General features: G+C 38.2%; 1 long non-coding RNA gene across 2 annotated transcripts in view; it reads left to right on the top strand.

Moving 5' to 3' along the window:
• LINC00907 (long intergenic non-protein coding RNA 907) overlaps positions 1 to 21,498 on the top strand; it is a 504,759-nt gene that overhangs the window by 329,781 nt on the left and 153,480 nt on the right. Inside the window, exon 7 of one of the 2 annotated variants that reach the window (NR_046454.1) lies at positions 16,671 to 16,904. The exons of the other annotated variant lie outside the window; for it this stretch is intronic. This is a non-coding gene — a long non-coding RNA (long intergenic non-protein coding RNA 907). Of the gene's footprint in view, positions 1 to 16,670; positions 16,905 to 21,498 lie in introns of those variants that run through there. 2 annotated transcript variants of the gene reach the window in all.

Raw genomic sequence — 21,498 nt, forward strand, 5'->3', positions numbered from 1 at the left:
GGACAGGCATGCGCCACCACGCCCTGATAATTTTTTGTATTTTAGTAGAGATGGGGTTTCACCATGTTGGCCAGGATGGTCTCAATCTCTTGACCTTGTGACCCGCCCACCTCGACTTCCCAAAGTGCTGGGATTACAGGTGTGAGCCACCGCGCCTGGCCCTCAAGACCTTTTATAAAAGTACTAATCCCATTGCTGAAGGCAGAGACCTCATGACCCAATAGCCTCTTAAAGGCCTCACCTCTTAATACCTTCACAATGGGGATTAAGTTTCAGCATGAATTCTGGAGGGAAACAAACATTCAGACCATAGCAATTACCAATCTTTAAGGGGCTACTGCCCTCAAATTGCACTCAATTTACATCGTATCAATTGCTATACCACTTAATGGACATTGTTTTCATCATATAATTTTTTTTCTACTTTTCTCTGCTTTCTTCTTGCCATTATTTTTTAGCATTGCTATTGAATATATGCATTAAAACATCATTAACATGTCACATTTCTTTTCACAAATATTTAATGAATCTCTCCCCTTCATTGCCTGCAGGATAAAGATCCATTACTTGGCTTTTAAAACTCTACAGGACATAGTCCCATGTGAAACACCATCTTTTTATGGGTTCTAGTAACAAAATTGGTACAAGCCTAGCAAGAATGCTGACCTGAGAACCTACTCAAAGTAACTTAATCTTTTATCCCATGGAGAAAATAATAATTCTATATCTCAGTTTTTAAGCTTCCACATGATTGCCTCCTGCCTAATCCTTTATCAGATGTGACCCAACTTCCCTTACTTTATCCAGTACACTTACGTGTAGCATTAATGACATTTTGGTCAATTATGGCCCACATATACGAAGGTGGTCCCATAATGTTATAATGGAGTTGACAAATTCCTATTGTCTAATGACATCGTCATTGTCATGTCATATTACAAGACATCACTAACATGTTTGTGGTGATGCTGGTGTGAATAAACCTACTGTGATGCCAGTTGCATAAAAGTCTAACATATACAATTAGGTTCAGCACCTAATAATTGGTAATGTACATAAACAACTATGTTACTGGCTTATACTTTTTATTGTAATTTTAGAGTGTACTTCTTCTATTTACAAAAAAAAAAACAACAACGTTAAATGTAAAGCTGCCTTCAGCAATTCCTTTAGGAGGTATTCCAAAAGAAGTAACACTCCATGCGTGTTACTACCTCTGAAAATCTTTCAGTGGGAAAAGATGTGGAGGTGAAAGATAGTGATATTGATGATCTTGACCTTATATAGACCTGGGCTAATGTGTGTGTTTTTGCCTTAGTTTTTAATAAAAATGTTTAAAAAGTAAAAATATGCTTTATAAATAGGAAAAACCTTATAGAATAAGAATATAAAGGAAGAAAGTATTTTTGGAGAGCTTTGCAATGTGTTTGTGTTTTAAGCTAAGTATTATAACAAAAGAGTCAGAGTTAAAAAATTAAAATGTTTGCAAAGTGAAAAAGTTATAGTAAGCTAAAGTTAATTTAGTACTGAAGAAAGAAATTTTAAAAATAAATTTGGCCTAAGTGTACAGTGTTTATAAAGTCTACAGTAATGTCCTAGGCCTTCACATTCACTCATCACTCACACTCTGACTCACACAGAGCAATTTCCAATCCTGCCATCTCCATTTATGGTAAGTGCCCTACACAGGTGCACCTTTTTTTTTTAATTGTCTTTTATAGTGTATTTTTACTGCATTTTTTTCTGTGTTTAGGTATGTCTAGATATACAAATACCAGTGTATTACAATTGCCTGTAGTATTCAGTATAATAACATACTGTACAGGTCAGTAGCCTAGGAGCAATAGGCTGTACCATATAGCCTAGGTATGTAGCAGGCTATACCATCTAGGTGTGTGTAGCAATAGGCTGTACCATATAGCCTAGGTATGTAGCAGGCTATACCATCTAGGTGTGTGTAGCAATAGGCTGTACCATATAGCCTAGGTATGTAGCAGGCTATACCATCTTGGTTTGTGTAAGTACACACTATGATGTTTGCACAATGATGAAATAATCTAGCGACTCATTTTTTTGGAAGGTATCCCTACTGTTAAGCAAAGCATGACTATAGTTAGAACTTCTATTGTTCCCTCTTTGCTCTGGGGCCTTACGCCTGCTAATCTCTCTGCCTGAAAGCTTTTGCCCTAAGCCTCCATGTTAGCTCTCTTGTTTTAGCTGCCTCATACCCATATTTTATGTATCAAACAACTTCCCCTTTCTCTGAGAATCTTTTCTGGATATCTCATCTTGGACTAGGTGCCCATACCATGTGTTGCCATGCCATCCTGTGCTGCCTTTATTATACATAGATATTGTCACACTTTATTGTAATCAGTTCCATGCCTTCCCATAGACTGTAAAAAGTTTGGATCACCTTCATTTTATTCATCATTTCATTCCAGTATCTCTCCCCATCCCATCGTTTCTAGCTTATAGCATATGAATAAATGCAGTTTCCAAGTTAAGGCTATGAAAAGGTATTTTTGAGCGCAGAAATAAGTAGCAAAGTCAAAGTGATAAATAAAGGCAAATTATAACATCAAAAAAGCAGTTTTTCAAACATTGTTTCTGAGTGGAAAGAGTGGCAATGAACAAAGTTCTAAAACCAGGAAGACTTAGCCAAGAATTCATCTACTCTCCTCCCCAAAGCAAAGTGGACCTATATTTCCTCCAGGTTGTTTGAATCCTTCTCATACTATGACTGCAGTTTCCAATTTATTTCTTTGCGGATTTTGTTTTTCCAGTTTTTAATATTTAGTTTCCTCCATTTACCTGAGTTCTAGATGGCAAAACCACAGCAATTTTGGTTCTTACCAAATATCTCCTCTGACACAGCTATCTTCTCCCAACCTTACATTACTTTCCAAGTGTTGATTTTATTGTTGATATTATTATTATCTCCAGTTTGAGTCTAAGCTCTACCAAGGAAGGAAGAGTGCCTTGTCCATTTTGGGGTTCACCCTTAAATTACCTTGGGTGCTGTCCAGCACATGGTTAATAATCAATAAACAAACAGCCTACTGGACTTGCCAGTTTTCCTGGGAGAAGGCATCTTATATTTCAGGAACAAAATATATTTTACAAGCAAAGAATACATAGATAAACTTCTTTTAAAAGTTCTATGTTTTCATATTACTTATTTGATTTGTTAGCATTATTCTCTGCCTTATTTCAACAGAATGTGATGTGGGTGAGAAAGGATGATAAAGTCAAAACTACCTTGGACACTAATCAAAAGATTTGGGTTAAACTGTATAAGTTGTCTGAGCATCAGTGAGTTATGCAAGCACTCTGGGCTTCAGTTCTCTCACTTGCCAAGTAAGAGGCTTGGGTCAGAGAATTTTAATATCTCCACAAGCTACAACAATTCTATGACTATTTTTGTATTATGCAAACAGAGATCTTCACACCTTTTATAAACATGTGGAGCAATTTTCTGCTGAGAATCTCAGTGTTTATCCATGATAGTTAAATAATAATCCATTGATAGTCAAATACTCTTGTTAAAAGATTTCCGTGTGTTTAATGAGTCTATTTATTACCCATTGGGAAACACTGAGTGATATAAAAAAAAATTCCTATCATTTATCATAGAATTTCCTTTCAACACAAAAAATCAACCACCAAAATTCTAATATTATCATGTATCTACAACTCGAATTCAATTTTAATCTGCTGCTCCAAAGAGTTCTACAAAAACACACTGTGCTTGGCTAATCTCTGGACACAGTCACACCTATTTAATGTGGAGGAGTCTGCACATGCCACTTTCCAAAGTCCACTGTAGGAAAAGCTTTCAGCAAGATAAGTCACAGCTAAATGCATTCTTGAAGATTAATTATCACTTGGATCTTTTCAGCTTTCAAATATACAATTGCATTAAGTGTAAATTAACTACCTTGGAGCTGCATAATGGACACTGGGTAGAGGACTTTCACCTTTATGTCTTTGGTTGGAATCTATCCCCAGCTTAAGACTGACTGAAAGTCATTATCCTTTGTCAACTGTTCGGTGACTTATGAAATGAGTTATTGGTCTTAGTTAAGATCCTAGCGCAGCCTAAAAGACCTTCACAATTGATGATCATCAGGAACTGCTGGAACTTGAGAAAGAGGATCGGAGATTGAATTGGTCATGGAAATTTAATTAGCGTCCCCCTGGTCCACCTTCCAAACACTCATTGAGGCTGAGTTTTGCCCTTCTCTGGAAAAGAACGATTTCAGTCTTTGGGGTTGCTGACTGGACATCTTTCATTAGCATAACATAATGGAGACAACTTATGGCTTTTTCTTCTAGTTAGGGCAGCACAATTATCCCCAATATTTTTCTTCACATAAAGAGATATCTGAAGGCTTAGTCAACTGTGGGAAAGATTTTATTTTTTTGTTTTAAGTCTCTCAGAGTACAGAAAAACTACTGAGATTCCATAACATATCTCATCATTATTGTCTCTACGGAGGCAAGAACATGTTGGCATCAGATTATTATTTTTATCTGTCTAGAAATAACATGGTTCAGGAAAAAGTGTCCTTGTCATGTGAAGGCTTTTGTTGTCTGAGTTGTTTGTACCTGCTCTGCATCTGTCAGTGAATGGAGTTTGAGGCTTTGGTTTCCCCACATATAAGGTAAAGGACATTAGACTGGATTTTTCAAAGTCTCTTCTGAGTTTATCAGATTCTAGCACTGACACATTTTCCTTTTCCTGAAAGTCTTGGGACTATATGGAAGCCTGGGGCTTTTCTCTTAAGAAGACACTATCATTTTAATGGTTGAATATTAGACGGGATGTAGCTTCATTTGGAAGTCATTAGCTGAGGAACATTAAAAAAATTTATATGAAATGAAGAGTGGGAATCATTAAGAGTGACAATATAAAACAGGTAAATAAAAACTAGAATTAGAGAGTAAATGGGTAAACAGTGCTTTCTATCATATCCCAGGAGGGTGAGAATGTAATTCAGGAGGACTGCAAGAATCATTTCAAGTGTAAAGATGACAATCAGAGGCCAAGCGTAGTGACAGCAGCTGCACCTGTGACGGTCAGAGGCCAATAATTGGTGCCTGGGAGTTCAGAGTTCTTTCTCTTCCTCTTCCTCCCCTTGCCTACCCTCCCCTCCGCTCCCTGCCCCTCCCCTCCCCACCCCTCCCCTCCCCTCCTGTACCCTCCTTTCTCCTCCTCTCCCCATTATAAAATACATATTTAAAAACCAGAGATTGGCCAGGCATGGTGGTTCAAGCCTGTAATCCCAGCACCTTGGGAGGCTAAGGTGGGTGGGTCACCTGAGGTCAGGAGTTCAAGAGCAGCCTCGCCAACATGATGAAGCCCTGTCTGTACTACAAATCCAAAAATTAGCTGGGCATGGTGGCACGCACCTGTAATCCCAGCTACTCGGGAGGCTGAGGCAGGAGAATGGCTTGAACCCTGGAGGCGGAGGTTGCAATGAGCCAAGATCGCTCACTGAACTCCAGCCTGGGTGACAGAGTGAGACTCCATCTCAAAAAAATAATAATAAATAAAAAACAAAACAAAACAAAACCCCTGAGATTTAGCCTTGATTCTTGAATTTTTCTTCACTCTGCTCATATAGACTCTACTATCAAGTTCAGTTGATTTAAGTGAGTTTTCCTATTACTCTTCATCTCCACTGTCACCATTTTAGTCCAAACACCTGCCATCTCTTATCCAATTTAAAGGGATAAATTTCTTTCTCTTTGATTCCAGTTAGCCTCCTTTCCCATCTTGAATCTTTTCTCCACATAGTTGTATAAATAATCTTTTAAAAAACATGTGTTAGGAAACAACTTATGTTCTTAAAACCTTTCATAGCTTCCCATTTTCACAAAATCCAAATTACTTACCATGACTTAAGTTTTCTGCCTTGAACTTTTACATATCTCCAATATTGCCTTATGTCACTGAGGTCAACAGAATAATGTTCCCCACTTCCCCACCAAATATTGACATTCTAATTCTTTAAACCTGTAAATATGTTACCTTACCTGGCAAAGAGAACTTTGCAGAGGTGAGTTAAGAATGCTGAGATAAGATTAGCTTGAATTATGTGTGTGGGCTGAATGAAATCCCAGGGGTCCTCAGAAGAAGGAGGCAGGAAGGTCAGAGTCAGGGAAGGAGAGGTGATGACAGAAGCAGAGGTTGGAATGATGCGATTGCTAGAAAGGGGGACCATAACCAAAAACAGGCTGCCAGAAAAGGTAGGGGCATGGACTCCTTGGCAACCTTGATTTTAGCCTAGGGAAACTCATTTCAAACATCTGACCTCCAGAACTGTAACTTGTGTTGTTTTAGGCAACTAAGTTTGTGGTATTATGTGACAGTAGCAATAGAAAGCTAATAAAATCACTCCTTCTATTCACAAACTATGCCCTATCTATGTGTCTTTTCTCAGTTCTTGGAATACAGCATGGTTCGCAATGCCACGGGGTCTTTGTACAGACCTGGACTTGTGTAATTTTATCCATAATTATGGGCTAGTTTCATTTATTCCTTTTGTTATCATCAGTTTAAATGACATCTCCTTGGATAGATCTTCCCCAACCTCTTCTTTTATTTTTGTTTCGGCTCCTTCTTTTCATTTTTGTTTTAATAGGATGCCTTAGTCCTGACAGTTGTTTTATTTATTGTATACTACTTGGGGTTCTTTGGTCGATTTTTTAGGTTTTCCCCCCTTTTCTTGGTCTATTGCTTTCTGTAGAACTAAGTTCCATGACAGAAGAAACTGTACCTATCATGGTTAGACTCATATCTTTAGAATGGTGTCTGGCACATAGTAAATACCAAATGAATATTTAAAGTCTACTTGGCAGACAAAATGAATGATTTGGGGGGAAGCAGCATATTAGGGAGACACTCTACTCTAAGAAAAGAAAGATACTAAATGCTAGCCAAGGATCCTCAGCCATTGCTAGATTTTAGGCTTGATTTTGTGCCACAGGGGAGATCAGGCCCTAAGGAAAACAGGACAAATGCTAAAGGGATGTGAGTTGTCAGAGAAGAAGCCCAATCCAGTAAACTAAGCAAATCTAAGTGGGTCTGGTCTGCAAAGGTGCTGTATGGGGCTTAAATTTCAGACAGGTGTTTGTGCCTGAATATTAGATCCTTGGTCAGGTGAGGCTCAGAGGCCACACAGGAACTCAGCAAATGGACCAAGTTCTAACTCCCAGTATAAGGGAAAAAAAGATGAATGTAAGTGGAAAAGAGGGCAGAGACCATTACTCTCTTGTCCAACCTGGAATCCTGAAAATTTGATTTAATGCCAGGCACTTAAGAAATCCTTAATAAAAATAGTCAGGACAAATACGAGTGAGAGATGAATGAATGATGAATCTATGTATGTAAAAGTAATTACTGTAACACTTGACATATTAGACAATCATGATCTCTTTCTCTTTTATAAGTTGTAGCAAATGACAAAGCTGATGCTGCTTTCTATCTTGTCAGGGACGGCTGTGGAATTGGGGATGGGCTTTTGAAATGCTGGCAGGTCCCATGGTGGAAACACTGGAAAGACAAAGACAGAGAAACAAGGCAGGGTCAGCAGCAGCAACTGATTGCTTCAGGGAAGAGGCTGCTTAGAGGAGATGTTAATATTGTCACTGTTTGAGTGACATTTCTTCAAGATTTTCGTCAGTAAAGTGAGTTAGATTAAGCTTAGTATAATTAACCCAAATAAATTAGCTTTAATCAAGTATTCAATTCTGTAATTTTCTTGTCTCCTTGATCTTTCTATTCCTTCCTAATCCTTTTGGCATTCAATCCTATTTTATTCTAGATTGATATCTGTTAAATCAATTTCCCTGGCTATCTAAATGACATTTGCTCTAAAGAGAAATAGTAGGTCTTAATTCCCCTAGTGTATTAGTTTCCTTGGGCTGTCATAACAGAACACCACAAACTGAGTAGCTTAAAACAACAGAAAATTATTTATTTTTTAAGGTTATAGAAGCTAGAAACCAAGATGTCAGCAAAGCCACGATCCCTCTGAAGGGTCTAGGAAAGAATAATTTTCTCTTCCTAGCTTCCAGTGGATGCTAGCAATCATTGGCATGCTTGTTCTCATGGTTGCATAATTCCAGTCTCAGCTTCTCTCTTCATATGGCTTTTTCTCCTTGGTTGCTCTGTTTCCAAATTGCCCTCTTCTTACAAGGCCATCCATTATATTTGTTTTAGGGCTCACCCTAGTCCAGTATGAGCACATCTTAACTTGACGACATTTGCAAGGACCCTATTTCCAAATAAGGTCACATTCACTAGTTCTGCATAGACATGAATTTTGGGGGGAAATCTATTTAAACCACTACACACAGAAAGAAAGAAGAGTAGTATTGTGGGATATGCCCAGGTTGAAGACTTTGTTGAGGAAAGCCTAGGGAACTTTTCACAGAGAGTTTTGTTTCCTATATACTTTTTCATAAGGGACTATCCCTTAATCATCTTTATATTCTCTATTTTTTTTTGAAACTTGTTCTATACACAGTGGTATTTATTGAATAATACAAAAGCAATCTTGAATAAATGGATTTTAATAATGATCCTCTTGGCTTATGACCCCCGCAGTCCTCCAGTACTAATGAACTAGCTTTGTATTGACTCAGGGTCTAGGCTGGGGAATGCCTGATTCATATGTCTTGGTCTCCTGGGACCACCAAACTTTGTTCCTGAGATGCCTGTCACCTGGGTGATATGTTCATGACTCCTTTCAACACCTGAATTTTGAGCAGTGCTTTGAGAAATGAAACCTACAGGATGAAGGATTTTTTTGTTCAACAAAGTTAGTAATAGACTGGTGCTTACATGAACTATTTTTAAGGTAATATTTATATAGGTAATATACTTAAAACAAGAGGTTGATATAAAGAGTTGTTCTTCAATTTATAACAAGCTATTTGGCTAAATTCAAGTATTTTGTTTCTGAAAAAGCCTAAAAAGTATAAATCTAAACTTTAGAAAAATGAGCTGGTAGAAACAGACAATGCTAAATAATATGTTACTTTTTCTAATTGTTTCATTTGATCAGTACACAGTAAATAAGACATGCAATATTTTCTTCTCTTACCAAACAAGAAACTGAAGCTCAGAGAGGGTAAGTGGTGATGTTAAATATAACAAGGGAAGAATGAGTGGCAGGGTTTTATGTCTCCATATTCTGGTCCCCTTTCGTTTCCAGTACATCACCCTGCTTCTCATCACTTGAAGTTACAAGGTACTTTTCACAATGTCTACTCAGCTTGTAGCTATATGTTACAGCCCACTTCTTCATTTAATTTAGTCATAATGTGGATTTTGTTCAGAGACTACTAGGTTTTTCATGTTCAATTAGTTTTAATATTATTTGTTTACAGTCTTTTAAAAAATTACATCTCAAATATAAACATAAAATTAGAGAACAGAGAAGGCCTGTGCACTTGGCCCAAAAGTACCCGATTCATAGTGTGACAGCCTGGGTTTAAGTCCTGTGTGATGTAGGGTGAGCTACTGCACTCAGAGAGAGCAGTCATGCTGAGCCAGTGTGGGCTCCTGCATTTGCCAACCCTGTGATATGCCCACAATTGGATATGAATGAGGGGAAGAACTCCAGCAGGAAGTATTTGTAAGTAAATTGGTCATTCTGGTTGCATTGCCAATTAGACTTTGCCCAGCACATGAACGACTTTGGGCCTATTGATATTTGCTGTGACACTTAAATGTTCAGCACAGTATTGATTCTGAATGTCAAGCCCTCTGCTTAGATGCTGTTTCTATGTGATGAGCAGATTACCACAGAATACTAATTGAACCATTTAAACACACACACACACACACACACACACTTTTTTGTGTTCACAGTGCTGACAAACAGCAATTTTAGTGCACATTTAATCAGAGCCTCTTCTCAACTTTAACGGAAGAGAAAAAAAGCAATCTTTTAAGTGTTGCTGAATAGTTTGTGGTTAGCCTGGAATGAAATATTTTTAAAAGATAAATTGCTTCCCACCAGCATATATATATTTCTATTTTTTCCTACTACAAAATAATTGATGAGAATATTTCATAAATATAATTTCAAAGAGTTAAAAGACTGTTTTTGGTAAGTATCTACCAAAGACATTTCAGTTGATAAGTGTTAGTCTACAGTGTTGTAAGAATAATTCTTAATATTCTGCAGCTGATGATTTGGCATCTTGGAAATCATAGGCCAAGTTAACAGACAAAGTAGTTTACATTCATACCATCTTGTATTTTCACAGGTGCAGAGAAACCGTATTAAAAATCTTCCAGCCACAAACCCCAATACCTGTGTTTTGCTTCCTGCCCAACAGGAGATATTTCCACCTAACAACTTCCTGCCACTGTAGAATTAAAGGCTCTCATCCATGCCTTCCCCTCACTCTTTTCTCCTGATAACCCTGGTGCTTGCCCATGTGGCCCCACAGGATGGTATGCCTTCTCTTTTTGGGTACTGCAAGTAATAAACTATTCTTTCAATGACGTTGGCTTCTCTAAGTCATCACTCAGTCACCTACGAAGTAAATTCCAGGTACATTTAAAACAGCTATTTAAAAAGTACAATTTTAAATGATTCAATTATAAGTTATTTCACATTTTTGATATACCTATATATATAGATACATACACATACACATATCTACAATCATTTTAAGTAGATACTTCTAGAAGCTTAGTTTAGAATTAGCAAGAAAGTCCTTAACCCACCCTTACTTGAAATAATGCAAGCTCTTTACATCAAAGAATCAGAAATATTTTGATTAAAATTAGACTAACTTATTTTATGATTTAAGGGATTAACAGTGAAGTTCTACAAGGTCTATAAATCATATGAGAAGTCTTCTTTAGTCCCACTCTCTTCTGATTCTGACATAATAATCAGGACCAGAAGGACCTACTAATGAGTTCTTTTTTGTCTTTCAGGCAAAATTGCCCCATGTTTTTCCTAAACATGGAATCACTAAAACGTCCTCAGGCTCTTGGGAAGGAAAACATTATGGCTTACTGTACAACGACAAAGATAGCCACTGGGAAACACACCCTACAACCAAAAAACACACCAGCAAAATTATTATCTCTGTTTAAGATCTATTGCCATAAACTATGGTTTTTAAGTTCCTAGTTTCTGAAAGCTGAAACAACACTGAAATCTTTATTGGATTTGATATAAAAAAGACCAATGCAGACATTTTATGAAAAAATAAATGCCTTGTTGTTATGGCTGGTGGAGCATCATCTAAAATAGTGACATGATGGGTTTCACCACTGTAGCATCAAATTCAACCCTCACATTTATAACACAAAACCACGAGCCGATACTGAGTGTTAAGGGTGTCCTTTCACGTTCCCTCATGAAGATGAGGATTAACTGTGGCTTGCCAAGCATTTACAGGATAATCTTTTCTTTAACTTCAAAAGGGATGCTAAATGTGATAAAGCCAGATAGCATAGCACTCTTATTTGCAATGTTATCTACTTTGTGCATACACACAGCTGATGCACTTACGCCATCAGGAGACTTTAATAGGTCACACTATCAGAAAAAAAGATGGAGTTTCAAAGGCTGTACTGGGGCCTGCTAAGTGTAATCCAATACAGTAGGTCTGATCCTCTCAAGTATATAAGACACTCCGGAAGTTGTCAGGCAGTCTGAAGAGCCCCCTGAGCTCCCTTGCTTCTGGTGCTATCTGATTGTAAGGCCAACAAGACAATGGCATCCAATCAAGTATCACCAACAAGACACCAACAAGACTGTCAATAAAATAAGGCACTTCTTTCAGCTCCAAAGACTAAACAAGTCAGTGCAGTGGTGCTGGCCTATAATACTAGCACTTTGGGAGGCTGAGGAAGGAAGAGTCCTTGAGGCCAGCCAAAACAAAATAATTAGACCCTGTCTCTACAAAAATAAAAAATAAATAAATAAATAGCCGGGCATGGTGGCACACACTTGTAGTTCCAGCTACTGCAGAGGCTGAGGCAGGAAGATTATTTGAGCCTAGGAGTTCGAGACTGCAATGAGCTATGATCAGGCCACTGCACTCCAACCTGGGTGACAGAGTGAGATTCTGTCTCTGAAAAAACAACAAAAACTGAGAGGTGCTATTAAATGAACCTCCCAATTAGCTATTTGAAAAACAACTGCTTATTTGAATTAATTAATTTTGTTTCTTTTTTAAAAAAAATAAATTTGTAAGTAATTCTAGCTATCAGGAAAAAATGTCATTTTGGATGTCATTAATACCTGAGTCATTGATTCCTAACTTAGAGAAAACAAAACCCTTTCCTCTCAGTTTCATCAATGTAGTGGGTACAATTCTAACTTCATAAATTCAGTTTGCAAGAAATATGACTTTTATTTTCTTAAATCATGTAATTACCAAACATGAGAGTTTGACTTGCTGAGGTTGATGAGAAATTTTGCTTCAGGTCATTTGAGGTTCATGCCCCACAGCCTTGTCAAGGGTCATGCCAAGGTTCCATGTTTGTTCCAGAGAGACACCTCTGGTCATAGGCCTTTATGTCCATGCTTGGAATCGTAGTGATGGCTGTTGGCTTAGATCCTTAAATCTTGGATTACCACTCTTTTGGTGTCTTAAAATAGATGTGGACATTTTTTGTGGTGTGGGGTCTGAGATGTGCACGTCAGAGACTTCAAAGTCCTCCCCCATTCCCCAGGACACTGCCAGAGAATAGGGAGAAGGCACCTGTTTCACCAAGAACCCAGGCTCCTTTATCTTCAGTTCTGCTCAGAAGTTACGCTTTCCTCCTCAGGTCCAATTTTATTAATCACCAAGTCAAATTGCACTCAAGGCCAAAGAAGTAAATGGCTGAGTGAAGTGGGTAGGCAGAGACCATCCATAATTCTTATGAAAGGAACATTGTCTTAGCCAGTGCGGGGTGAGCCAGTCCCCTCATGAGAGGGATGTGGGCCCAGTGTTGCCTGAGTGCTGATGTCTGTAAGAGATTTCAGAAGCAGATTGTTGTGTGAAATTTACCAATCCTTAATACTGACAAGTTTCATTTTAAAATAAATTAATTGATTGGCATTTAAGACTGTCTGCAAACTGTCCAGGTCTAAAGTGACCTCTGCCCAGGATACTTAGGTTTATCTTTTCAATTAAGTGGAGTTTTTTATTGTTTGTTTGTTTTGGAAATGAAAGACAGAGGAAAGTATCTTCCCAACAGATTCTGCCTTCTACTCAATGACAAATCCCCTCCACTGCAAATTCATTCCTGTCCCTCAGGACAACATGCCAGGGCTTGAAACTGTTGTATGGAGGAATAGATAAGGGGGAAATATGAGAAAAAAAACTCTGAAAGCAGAAATGTATCTGCCACATTCTCGATGATAGAGCACCACCCCCCTCGGATTCAGAAATGCAGCTTTGGAGTAACATTTTATTTCTTTATTTTTATCTGGAGTTGTATTTTACTTCCCAGCTAAGCTTCTGCTGGTTCTCTCTTAGGTCTCCCTTTTCTTACTTTTTGCCATTCTTACCTGCCCTGTACTCCCCTGGCCTCATACTGCACCAATTCCTTACTGAATTGAAGTATTGGAATTGAAACTGCTCAGAAAGAGAGGTTTGGGTCTACAATCTGAGTGTGAGTTCATGATGGTTGCCTTGAGGGCTTGGACATTTTATCTTTTTCCTCATGGCGGTCCCAGTGCAGGTCCTTTTTTGTTGAATGAATAGATTTTGCCACTGTTCAGGGCAACATGATTGGAGTGTCAGGATGAGCCCAAGGAGGTTCATGATTTCATGCAGGCTTTTGGACACATCTTTGCAAAGTCCAACTCCTTCAGTTCGTATAAATCCAATACCATTTTAAGTGCTTTACATGTACTTTTCCTGAAATCCAGCTGTCTCCCTATATGACTGTCTCCCTATAGCAGCTGGACTCTAATTGCTGCATGTAAACAAACATCATCTGGAACAGAGCCACCTTATAACACTGGATGCTATTCATTTTCAAGACTACCAAGGTCATTTATTACTAATGGCAGGAGTGTGTAGCTGGCTGGAGTTAGCAGAGTCATGTTTCTGTGCAAGCTACATTTCAAACTGGCTGCAAACATCTGGGAAAATGAACAGTCTAAACTTATGGCTCTCAAACCTCTATCTGATTTCCATGACCTTGTCTTTGCATGAAGTCTTCACATGTCACAGTATCATCCATTTGTTGTCTACATAGCCAATTAACATGCAGCTGTGTATGAGTATCATACGCTGCTATTTACATTCTTATATGTCTGTATCACACATCTTTAGGGTATAAGTGGGGTCCCTTTGGGAAGCTTGAAGTATTAAAAGACATAAGCACAGAAATTTGACATTGTTGAATGTGTAGAAATTAATAATCACTGAAGCATAGGAAGGGTCATCCCATTCTAACCCTTGAGTTGACAATGAGGGAGGGGCAGAGCGTCAGTGGAACCCAAAGAGGAAAATGATCTGTTTATTGGGCCCCTGACTGTCTTCCTTTGCAGAAGTTGGGGATAACTGGCCCAAATTCACACACTCAGCTCTACATACACATACACAGTAATATGATTCATTTTTCAGATTAGAATAAATTTAAGGAAAATTATGACACAGAATTCAGTATTCTGGTGGCTCAGTCATGACCTGGACCCACTCTAATCTCATATCTAAATTTTTAGTATTTACAGTTTTATTTTCTATGCTTCTTAGACCAAAACCTCTTAGTTTATATGCTACAGCTCATAACAAGTTACTGATTGATTTCCCTTTGTAGCTCTAGATGATATTTTCTGGGGATTTGTACCGTGTACCAGATACCATTTTAAGTACTTTACATGTACTTCCTTCCTTATCCTCCAAAAACCCTGTGAGTTATGTAGGTTGCCTCCATTTTATATTTGAAAATCTTGAGGCAGAAATAGGTTGTGTTTTTCCCAAGGTCTCACAGCCAGTGAGACCCAAGATTCAAAGCCAGCAGCCTAACTTCAGATCCCATTCTTATAAACACCCGATTTATGTCTCTGACTTGATTTATGGAAATAATACTAGTTGTTGCATCAGCAGGCATAATTGGACACTATCTAGTTCCCATTGCTGGAGTCAGGGTACAGATGGCTAGGAGGTCAATCATGAAGGACTTGGCCAAGGGAGGTTCCAATGCTGGTCCTCAGTTAAAGGGAATGTTTTTCTAGTGAGATGAAAACAAAGCAAGATCTGACTGTTGATATGGACCACAGTCCAAGACAGAGGATAGCAGTTGGTATTAGAGGAAATGCTCCTTGTATTAGATCTGATGAGTTACTGCAATCAATAAGCACAATTTTAGAAAAGGGATTTGATCCAGCACTTTGGGAGACGAAGGCAAGTGGATTGCTTGAGGCCAGGAATTTAAGACCAGGCTAGGCAGCATAGCAAGAGCCTGTCTCTATTAAAAAGGAAAGAAAGAAAGAAAAGAAAGAAAGAAAGAAGAAAAGAAAGAAAGAAAGAAAGAAAGAAAGAAAGAAAGAAAGAAGGAAAGAAAGGGAAAAGAAAGAAAGAAAGACAAAGAAAGAGGATTTGAATTAATGACAAAGAGAAGTAATGAAAACAGCATTAAGAGGGTGGCTGGAAGGTGACTCACAACGGTGAGGTAGACTGACCGCAGGGAAACACAGCAGGTAAGTAGACAGACATAGCATGATTAACAAATAATTTTGCAGGTAAGAAGCAAGGCCTTTACAAACTGCTGGTCCAGAGCTAACTCCAAGCCTTTTTGGCCATGAGGAGAGGAGCAGAAACAAAGTAGGGAGGGCTAAGAGACCATAAAAATATTTGGTCAGACAAAAGCCAGACTTAGAATCTTCCTGCATCTGCTTTTTCTCTAGAGTACATTTCTCCTGGCTCTTTCCCATCCTCTAGAGAGGCTTCATCTGATGCCCAATCCATGGTAGTTATCTCTATTTCTCTTTTTCTTGGCAACACTACTTCTTTTTCCTTGTCTAAGGTTCACGAAATATATACTGTATACTTATTTATGCCCATTTATTTGTTAATTGGTTGTCTCCCTGACTCAAATACAAACTGTATGAAGTTAGCAATTATTTCTGATTTTTTCAAATTGCATACACAAGGACTGTTCATAAGTAAGCATTGAATAAATGAATGAATGAACAGGGCTCAGGTACAGGGATAAAAGAGATGAGCCATGTAATGTACCCAGCCTAGAGCTGGGGAGGAGACTTTGGAGGGAAGAAATGATCGCTTACGTTCAATGACCACATGACTATTATTTAGCACTGATGAGCTATCTAAGATCCCTAGTACTAAATGTTATAAGCATATAATGAAGACAGAAGACAGATATGTCTGCAATGGCCCTTTCACAATGTCATCACTGGGAGGAGCTTCATCCTTTATATAAATTATTTGGAAGTTCTGCTTACTAGTGTGCTAATATAGAATATTCACCAGAATGGACGTATATTGAACTAGTATTTTCAGTAAACCATCCCTGAAAGTACAGAATAAAAAGTTTAATGGAGTAACTTATTCCACTTAAGTGTATATGACATGAAGTGTAAGAGTATTACATTCTTTCTGTCTGTTCCTCCAACCTAGCATACACACTAAAGCCTCTCCTTCTCCTCTCCTCTCTTCCCCAGAGGCTCTGATCTTTTTCATTAAAGAAAAATCACTCTCACAGGGTTCTGCTGAGGGTGTGTGATTACAGATGTTGCCAAGGAGCACTCCGGGAACCTCTAATGGGGAGGACACAAGACAAAGCAAATGGACAGTCATTTTTCCAAGAGATGGGCCCCCTGCCATGAGGAAGTTCTTCAGGCTGCGTCTCCTTTTTGTGTTTTTATTTGATCTTTAATAAAGAATATTAAGACTGAGCTGACTGCCTGCTATGACGCTCTAAACACAGACTTACATTTGAGAGGCTGAAGGGAGGAAATGGCAGCCCCGTGGAAAGCAGGGAGCTAAGAAAACAGTATGCAATGAACTTCTCACCTCTGCTCCCTGTCTTGAGGCACAGTGAAAACAGGACACCTCCTATTAAAGGGTTGTCTGCTATATGGGGTCTTGTTAGAGGTCTGGGACTACAATTGGCAGGCCTGTGCTGATCTTATTTATCTATTATTGGTGCTTGCTTTCACCTTCTTCCTTCTCAGAAAGTTTCTGCTTTTGCCAATCCTAAATCTCAACCTCTTTTTATTAAACAAGGGCCAGAGCTAAAAATAAAGGTTGTGTCAACAGATATAAGCAGCACAAGGCTTTATAGTTATCCTGCCACTTCTTAACCTAGCATTTGCGAGGATTGCTTATCTACTTTCAGATTCGAATGAGACAATCGTGCGATGACTTTTGAACTTTATTCGTACTTCCGTTCTTGTTTGTAGAACTACATCTAAGAGGTAAGAAGGATGGTGATCAAAGTGTTTAATAATCGTGGAGACGCAGTCATGTCTCCTGACCTTAATTCCAGCTCCATTCCCCCTTAAAAAGAACTGTCTGGTTCAATAATTAGTGGCCAAATTTTGGAAGACATTTTCCCAGGGAAGGAGCTTGCCTCTTAAGCCCTTGCCCGGACTTCCCCAAGTCTCTTCTAGTATACATGTCATTTGATAACTTATTCTTGAAATTTCATTAGTGAAAACCTCCTTACATTGTTCTGGTGGACATTTTATCCACCAAAAGCTGCCCTTAGATATCCACACCTTAGTGCAAATGAATTCCTAATGCTTTGCAAAAAGCAGATCTTAGAGGGAACAGAAAGGAGAGGGTCTGTAGACACTGACCACCATAGAAAGTTGAAGAAGACAACAGCCCATGGAAAAAAACAAAAAGATATGAGAGGGATAGAGACCTGAGAGGCTGTCACTGCCAATTAGGATGCTGACTTAATTTGCACTTTACCAAAGATCCTCTCTTCCTTTATTCTAAAATTCAAATTGGGCAATAAGCCCCAGAACCTTCTGTTGGGTGCTGCTGGTCAAAAAATATATACAGATATTATCTCGTGGCTGATGCAGCCTAGCCTGGAGCCAAAGCAAGAAGGAGACAGTGAAGGGCACAGCAGGAGCTCCATTATAGGATGATATATAGTATGACATTTAGATTTTGTTTTTAAATAGATTTACAATGCTCCATGTATTTTTTTTTTTCTCACTTGCACACTTTTTTTTTTTCCAAATATGCTTACACATTCTCCTCCAGGCTGGGTCTTTCTAATGTTAAGGTGAGTGCACAAATACTAGATTTTTAAATTTTATTTATTTATTTTTTTTACAGTTCATGATGAATGGAGTTCAGGAGCAGATGCCAGAGAAAAAATGACCAGATAATCAGGTTTTGAATTGGTGCAGTCTCCCTGCAACACTGCTCAGCCTGCCTCCTGTTTCACATTTCAGTGTCTGTAACAGCCCCCACCTGTTTCCCAGTGCCAGGCCTTCCTTCTCAAGATAGCTGAGCCTGGAAGATTGTACCCACTAGAAGGATAAGGAAGTTCATTCCTTAGCCAGGCATTGGTGCAAACGCCTGCTGTAAAATAACACTGGGAAAATGACTGTCAAGTCATGGATCAGTTTTGTAAAAAAAATGATTTAATAAGTGAAGAAAAAATGCAATTTTCTGATGGAAATATTTGGGAGAGAACAATAGATACAGAGCCAACTTTCCTAGGTTGGCTACTAATTAGAGACCTGGTCCTGGGGTAGTTGCTTATTGTGGGAGATGATTAGGCTTATGTGTTCTCATGAAGGAGTAGATGAAGACAAATATGCTCTAATGTCTCCTTCTCTTTTGTGTGTGTGATTTTGTGAGCTTTCATGGCAGAATAACATTCATTTCTGTTGGTTCTACCAACATCCCAGAACTTGGCATCCATTCTCCCTCATCTTCCTACATGTCTGTGGTGGGATAAATTCTCTGCAACCCACTAGCTGGTGCAGTTAGAAGTCACTGCCGTTAAGGAAATACTATGAAAAGAAAAGCTATTAACAACTTAAAGAACTACCTCTCATTAAGATATTTGGATGGTATTATGATTCTTAAGAATGGTTCTGAGGAATGACTTTTGAGACACTGATAAATGGTGGAGTAGTTATTTCTGATCGGTTACCATTTCCTATTAAATCACAGATGCTCTGCTTCCTGCAAAAGCCAGTCTTACTTAAGTGACTCAACTAAATTTAGCCCATTTCTCCATTTAGACTAGTCTTCATTTCTTCATTTGTTCTTTTGAATACTTTTATTGATTACTGAGGCTCGGTGTTCCTGGACATGTGTTTGATACCTAGCAGGAAAGATACAATCCCTGTCCTTAAGCAAATTGCAGGTTTCCAACAGCAGCCTCCTCTGAAATTGAAGGAGAGATGTATTGTTTTCCTGTTTGGCCCAGATACTCCTCTGAATTATCAGGAAAAAAATGATGGAGGATGGAGACAGTATTTTTCTGAGGGAAAAGAAAACAGAAAGAGGATCTAAATCAATAAAACATTTTTAATCAAAGGAGGAGATTTACTCATGGCTCACCCTGTCTCTTAACTTGTGAATTAACAAGGGTGGCATTGATCAAAGATCTAACTGGGACATTGTCCTTGGCTCTTTGCAAAACAGCCTGATCAAGTACTAATTTGTGTGGTATTACCTGAGTTCACAGAAAAGAGAAATCCAAATTAGCCATGGTTGCCTGGGGAAGTTTCTTGGTGAAGTGGGACTTGAAGTGGACAGACCAACACTAGGCAAAAAGGAAGTCATTCCAAGAGGACTAGTGGCATTCGTGAATGCAGGATTAAATGTTGCACATAGATGAGATGAATAGTATGGCTAATGCTCTTTGTGTCTTGGGAGCAGAAAACTCAAATCTCTGCAGAAATTAGGAATGTCATATAAATGATTTAAAAGAAGAGGGTGAGAAATAGAGGCTGATTTAGCCTTAGCAGAATTTCGGTCCAGCATAGAGAGAGTTCTATTGGTTAAGAGAATTCAGAAAGCTGCCTTTGTCTTTGTTCATGTGTAATTTTAACTGTTGACAGTTTAGTTTTGTTTTTAAATCCATGTGGTGCAAATGTAATGCATCTGTTGGGTAGATCTTTTCTAAACACTACCAGCTTGCAACCTCTTTATGAAAGGATTAAGATTGGATTGGTGGACTTAGCAGTCTTCTCAAGAGATCTTTCAAGAGTAGGAGGCAACATTGTGCTCATAGTTAACGAAACTTGACCACACACTTAAAAATGTAAGTGGATAGTAAGTGAAATAACTCAGGAACAGGAAGTCAAATACCTCATGTTCTCACTTTTAACTGGGAGCTAAACAATGTGTACACATGGACATACAACATGGAATAATAGATATTGGACACTCTAAAAGATGGGAGGGTGGGTGGAGGTGACGAATGAGAAGTTAACTATTGGGCACACGTACACTATCTGGGTGATGAGTACACTAAAAGCTCAGACTTCACCACTGTGCAATATATCCATGTAACAAAACTGTACTTGCACTCCCTAAATATATCAAAATTAAAAAAAAATAGAAAAATAGCATTTAGAATTAAAAAATTAAGAGCATAGGTCTCATGTTATCTGTGCTTACCACAATTCAAAAAAGAAAAAGTATGAGATCAATTAGCACGATGTTACTGGAATCTGCTTATACAATGATAAAACAGAACAGAAATGAAAACCCCAAGGAAAAAAAAGTGTTCTATTGAGAATGCATCTTATATGTACTGTGTGTGCTATTTCTGTAAATCACAGTGATTAGCTTTGAGGTAGAAAACAAAGACCGTAAGAAGCCTATTTGGATATGTTAAAGACTTTTTCTCTCTTTACTTTTCCAAACAGGATCAAGTAATTTTATGGTATCAATAACTCTTCTTTATTCATTTCTGAACAGTGACCTCCTGGGAAAGATAACATTTATTTGGGTAAAGTTGTAAAATGCATAATTTGTATCTGAAAACCAAAACTTGACAGCAAGTTGTTTGTATCTTTTTTTTAAATCAAACATTTCTGAACTAAAAAAAATAACATTTCTCATTTTTATAGCTAGAAACCGTATCGCATAATGAGGATAGTGCTTTTCCATTGTGAAAAATGATGCCAAGAATGACTAGAAAAGATAAATTCTCCACACACACTCACAAAATGTTAAAACTTTCATGTCATGTATATCTATTCTTCTAAGATGGCCTTAAGCTACAAGGAAATATATGTTTTCCCACAGAGGATAGGGTCCAGACTACTTGAGTTAAATATCAGGTTTTGTTTTCTACAAGGTCCTGCAGTTATGAGTATTCACCATAATGCCATGAAATCACACCATAAATCTATGTAACCACTTCCTTTTACATTCATTATGTGGGAGCAGAAGCAACTCTCAGAATCAGAAGCAGCATCTATATGGTCTGTTAGGAAGGAAAGGCTTGCCATACTATTTTTTTAAATAAACTTAGTATAAACTTATAAACACATTATACTG

The sequence above is a fragment of the Homo sapiens genome, chromosome 18, assembly GCF_000001405.40.
Source record: "Homo sapiens chromosome 18, GRCh38.p14 Primary Assembly".
Taxonomy (NCBI): Eukaryota; Metazoa; Chordata; class Mammalia; order Primates; family Hominidae; genus Homo; species Homo sapiens.